Raw genomic sequence first — 6126 nt, forward strand, 5'->3', positions numbered from 1 at the left:
ATATTACACCAAAACTTGACAAGTTGTAGTTTCCTAAAGGTTAGTAGCAATTTGAGATCTGACCTTCACATGCTGTTATATTAAAATCAACTTATCTGGCCGAGCGCAGTGGCTCATGCTTGTAATCCCAGGGCTTTGGGAGGCCAAGGAGGGTAGATCACCTGAGATCAGGAGTTTGAGGCCAGCCTGGCCAACATCATGAAACCCCATCTCCACTAAAAATACAAAAATTATCTGGGCGTGGTTGTGCATGCCTCTAGTCCTGGCTACTTGGGAGGCTGAGGCAGGAGAATCACTTGAACTCAGGAGGCAGAGGTTGCAGTCAGCCGAGATCATGCCACTGCACTACAGCCTGAGTGACAAAGTGAGACTCCATCTCAAAAAAAAAAAAAAAAAACAATTTATCTGTCATGCTTTGAATAAGTATTTCACCACTGCATGATTGTACAATATCACACATTGTTCATTCAGAAAACATTGGTCTATTGAGTTATACAGATCTTCCCAATGTTGACACATCTCACTATACAAAACCCAGAAAAATCATGTTCATTAACATCACCACCAATCTCATTGGAAAGGACTTTAAATACGGTGAAGCTGTCAAGTTCACAGTAGCAAACACAGGTTTTCGAAAATTCAGATTTTTTTACTTGAAAGCTCCAATTCGATCACTGGTAAATTTGGAAATACTGTCAATTGTTTTCCCTGAAGTGACAGGCCCACTTTGTTCATTTTTGAAAAAATATCTGCCAAATACCCAAGCATGAATAACTGTAATTCGTCCATCAGTCATTGTTTTAAATCAAAATGGTGTTCCATTAAAAAACAGTTAGTTCACCTTGCCCCTCAAACCACAGGTGCTTTTCCTCAAGATAGCTCCCTAGCTCAGTATTCAGCATGAGGACTTGATGTGTGCTTCCCATTTTGTCACACAACACATTAAAAAGACATGTACTTTAGGACCAAGGTTTAATAAAATTGAAAATTTTACTGCTTCCCCAAGTACTTTTGTTGTTGTTGTTTTTGTTGAGACAGAGCCTCGGTCTGTCACCCAGGCTAGAGTACAGTGGCGAGATCTCGGCTCATTGCAACCTCCGCCTCCCTGGTTCAAGTCATTCTCCTGCCTCAGCCTCCTGAGTAGCTGGGATTACAGGCACCCACCACCATGCACGGCTAATTTTTGTATTTTTAGTAGAGACGGGGTTTCGCCATGTTGGCCAGGCTGGTCTCAAACTCCTGACTTCAGGTGATCCACCCACGTCGGCCTCCCAAAGTGCTGGGATTACTGGCATGAGCCATCACGCTCGGCCCCCCAAGTACATTCTTAAGTGAAACTTGTATTTTAAATTTAATTCATTGTATTTATTTGCTACTAGTGCTTGGCAATAAACAATGTAATGACTGTTATTACAGTTTGGTGCAACTGCCTTCATTGGTGCTAAGGCACCAGCAGTTTTACCCACCATTGGTTTGGTACCATCAATGTTAATATCGACACAATGAAAAAGGCAAACACTGTTTTAGTATAAAGAATAGTTTTGACTTCATGGATTTCCTGAAAGTGTTTTGGTGGCCTCGAGGGGGTTGCAGACCATATTTTTAGAACTGTCATGCTAGAAAATAACTGTATTTCCTCACGAAGACTTTAATATCTGAAATAGAACACCGGGGTAGATCACTGATTACTATACATGCCCTTTTAATAAGATAAACACTATAAAATCACAGACATAAGAAAACAAAAGGATTTAGTACTCATTTAGCTTTTCTAGTGGATGTGCTTAGAAAGCAAACTTAGATTCAAAAGTTTAGAGACTTTAGGCCAGGCACGGTGTCTCACGCCTGTCATCCCGGCACTTTGGGAGGCTGAGGCAGGTGGATCACCTGAGGTCAGGAGTTCTAGACCAGCCTGGCAAACATGGCAAAACCATGTCTCTACTAAAAATACAAAAATTAGCCGGGTGTGGTGGCGGTGCCTATAATCCCAGCTACCTGGGAGCTGAGGCAGGAGAATTGTAAAAGTTTACAGACTTTAAATTTAGATTAGTTAATTCTTTTTGTTTTTAAGCATTAGAAGATCTATTAGTGAGATGGTTTTCTCTCTCTTGTTACTTGTTCTCTAAAAAATAATTATATTAATGAGAAAGGATCCAAATGGACATTTCTCCAAAGAAGACATATGAATGGCCAATAAACATATGAAAAGATGCTCAACATCACTAATCACGAGGGAAATGCAAATCAAAATCACAATGAGATACCACTTCCTACCCACTAGGATGGCTAGAAATTATGAAGTCAGACAACAATAAGTATCGGTGAGGATGTGGTGAAATTATAATCCTCATACACTGCTGGTGAGAATACTTAATTGTCCAGCTACTTTGGAAAACAATTTGGCAGTTCCGTAAACAATTAAACATAGTTACTGGCTGGTTGCAGTGGCTCACACCTGTAATCCCAGCATCTTGGGAGGTCGAGGTGGGAGGATTGCTTGAGACCAGGAGTTTGAGACCAGCCTGGCCAATATGGTAAAACCCCATCTCTGCTAAAAACACAAAAATTAGCCAGACATGATGGCACACGCTTGTAATCACAGCTACTCAGGAGGCTGAGGCAGGAGAATCACTTGAAGCTGAGGCAGAGGTTGCAGTGAGCCGAGTCATGCCACTGCATTCCAGCCTGGGCAACAGACCAAGACTCCATCTCAAAAAAAAAAAAAAATAGAGTTACCATATGATCCAGCCATTCCTTACCCAGGTACATACCCAAAAGAAAGGAAAACATATGTCCGCACAAAAACTTGTATACAAATGTTTATGGTAGCATTATTCATAATAATAAAAATGTGAAAATAACCAAAATGTTCATCAACAGACAAATGAATGAACAAAATTTGGTATATCCATTCGATGACCTATTATTTAGCCACAAAAAGGAATGAAGTACTAATATATGCTACAACATGGATGAACCTTGAAAACATTACGTTGCCTGAAAGAAGTCAGTCACAGACCACATACTAATACAGTTTGACTCATATAAAAGCCCAAAATAGGGAAATCTGTAGAGACAGAAAGTAGATTGGTGATTACTTCGGAGTAGGGTGGCGTGGGGCATGTGGGAGAATGTGCTAGCCAAAGGGATATGTGATTTCTTCTTGAGGTGATTAAAATGTTCTAAACCATCTAAAAGATGGTTGCACACATAAAAAAAAAAAACATTGCGTTGTACACTTTAAATGGGTTAATTGTATGGAATGTGACTCATATCTCAATAAAGCTGTTAAAACTAATTACAGTATAGAAAAAATTAGCGATAAGGTTTTTTTTAGAGAAACTATTTTCTTTTCTGTTTCTTTTTGAGACGGAGTCTCGCTCTGTTGCCAGGCTGGAGTGCAGTGGCGCTATCTCGGCTCACTGCAACCTCCGCCTCCCAGGTTCAAGCAATTCTTCTGCCTCAGCCTCCCAAGTAGCTGGGACTACATGCGCACGCCACCATGCCCAGCTAATTTTTGTATTTTTAGTAGAGATGGGGTTTCACCATGTTGGCCAGGCTGGTCTCAAGCTCCTGACCTCATGATCCACCCGCCTCGGCCTCCCAAAGTGCTGGGATTACAGGCGTAAGTCACCGCACCTAGCGAGAAATCATTTTATAGATGGGAAGACTGATCCCCAGAGAGATGAGGGGACTGACCCAAAGTCACAAAAACCTGGGAAAAGAACCCAGGTTTCTCTTTTTTTTTTTTTTTTTGAGACATAGTCTCACTCTGTCGCCCAAGCTGGAGTGCAGTGGTGCGATCTTGGCTCACTGCAACCACCACCTCCTGCGTTCAAGTGATTCTCCTGACTTAGCCTACTGAGTAACTGAGTAGCTGGGACTACAGGCATGTGTCACCACGTCCAGATAATTTTTGAATTTTTAGTAGAGACAAGGTTTTTCCATGTTGGCCAGGCTGGTCTTGAACTCCTGACCTCAGGTGACCCACCCACCTCGGCCTCCCAAAGTGCTGGGATTACAGGTGTGAGCCACTGTGTTCCGACGAGAACGCAGGTTTCTAATTCCTGTAGTAGAGTACATTTCCTCCCCCAGAATAGTAATACAATGCCCTTTCTTTCACTCCTGCGGTGAAAATGACAATGATCTTACCAAATGCATTCAAACTGGAGTCAGCCTAAGAGGTGAAAAGAAAGTATCTACAAGTACTCTGTCTACAATTCTGCTCTGAACAATGTCACCCTTTGTGGAAAGAAATAGGAAACTGCAGAAAAGCTGAGCAGAATAAGAGAGGAAAAATGAACATCACCTTCTCACTTTCAACACCAAACCACTTATGGGTGGTCTTATAAATGTTGTCATACCAGTGGCATAGGCTTTTGTCAACTCATCTTAAAATAGCTGTCCATAAAAATAGTAGACAAAATACAGCACAAATATTTTGGTACGTCCACTGGGCTAGTAAGTATCATACCCATTCATGTTCAAAGATATAAAGGACAGCAATAGCGCTTTTCTCACAAATGCTTGGGTTGCAATGCTAGTCAGAACTACGGTAATACCTCTGATGTATCATACTTTGAGTTTCAACTTACTTTTACACAATCACATCTGACCCTCAAAACAGCCTTGTGAAATCAATAGGGCAGGTATTATTAGCCCCATTTTGCAGATAGGAAACTATTTTTAGGAAAGTAGGACAAGGTTTATTACCATCCTCATTTTATGAATGAGGAGACTTATTTTACATGAGCAACGTGCTATAAATAGCAACAGGAGAGAGCTTAAACCTGTAGCTGGTACATGAAATTTGGGGAACTATTTAAAACTGGAAACTAAGAGAACAGAGTATGCAGCTGGGATACTCACGAAAATGACAGGTTTATTGCTGCTTTTTATTTATTGCATTCCATAAACTGCTTTTAGGCAGATCAGAACCTGCACTTCCAAGCCCTGGTATGATAGAGAATGATTGACAGGGCTCTGCCTTGCACAACTTCAGGGGACAGCATTCAGATGAAGTGATGCCATCCCCAGAGCATTTGTTACTCAAGTGGAGCCTTGACCCTAAATCAGAGATGCTATATAGATGTCTCAGACACGAATCAGGAAAATCTCTAGACCCATCACAAACTGCACCTCCTCCATGAAATTTCCGATAACTTTTCCTGTCCTAACAGAGTCCATTGTATGCATCATATATTTTGGTATTCAAGTATATTCCATTTTAACTAAAATTTATCTTTTATATTATTCCTCAATGTTTCATCTTTATTTGACTTGTAGTACAAGTTTTATCTTCTTCAAAAGATTCTAACTCTTTGAGGGCAAAAACCATGCTATTTTCCATTTCTTTATGCTTCAAACTTTCTTCTGCATAACGGTAAGTACAGTAGTCAGTAATTCAGTTGAATTCATCAATTTGCCCTCAACAATTTAGTCATTTGATATCATAAGTACAGTAAAAGAATATAAGTAAATCTAGAAATATGTCAATTATTCCATGAATAATATTTGCCTTTGAATTTACTAATTTATTTATACTTCATTTGTATAGCTTTCTCGTGTTTAGATTACTGCCTTAAATCTTTGTGCCCTTATTGGTGAACCATATGGACAAACAAATTTGAATTCTATTCACTAATGCTATTAAGTTTCAAGAGCCAACTGCTGGTAGAACAATTACCTAGTCATTCAAAGGTGTATCTGAATTGCATTTTCTAAGTAAGGAGATGTACATCGCTTATAATTCCAAATAGCTTATCTAAAAGCCATGACTTTAAGGAAAAGTCTAAATTAATTTAAAACAAATAACTCTTTTTAAAAAGTGTATCAGCGGCCAGGTGCTGTGACCACCTGAGGTCAGGAGTTTGAGACCAGCCTGACCAACATGGTGAAACCCTATCTTTATTAAATACAAAATTAGCTGGGCATGGTGGTGGGTGCCTGTAGTCTCAGCTACTCCTTGGGAGGCTGAGACAGGAGAATTGTTTGAACCCGGGAACTGGAGACTCCGTCTCATAAAACAACAACAAGAAAAATGTATCAGCTGGGCACAGTGGTTCATGCCTGTAATCCAGGCATTTTGGGAGGCCAAGGCAGGCGGTTAGCTTGAGTCCAGAGTTC

The 6126-nt window shown here is 40.3% G+C and overlaps 1 annotated feature.

Annotated features, from left to right (window-relative positions):
* Positions 3729-4430: an enhancer, noted in NCBI's record as "NANOG-H3K27ac hESC enhancer chr2:44352521-44353222 (GRCh37/hg19 assembly coordinates)". NCBI's record gives its function as "activates a minimal SCP1, AML or CMV promoter by ChIP-STARR-seq in primed H9 embryonic stem cells {active_cell/tissue: H9 hESC(primed)}" and the evidence as "EXISTENCE:reporter gene assay evidence [ECO:0000049][PMID:30033119]".

Source organism: Homo sapiens, chromosome 2 (genome assembly GCF_000001405.40).
Source record: "Homo sapiens chromosome 2, GRCh38.p14 Primary Assembly".
NCBI lineage: Eukaryota > Metazoa > Chordata > Mammalia > Primates > Hominidae > Homo > Homo sapiens.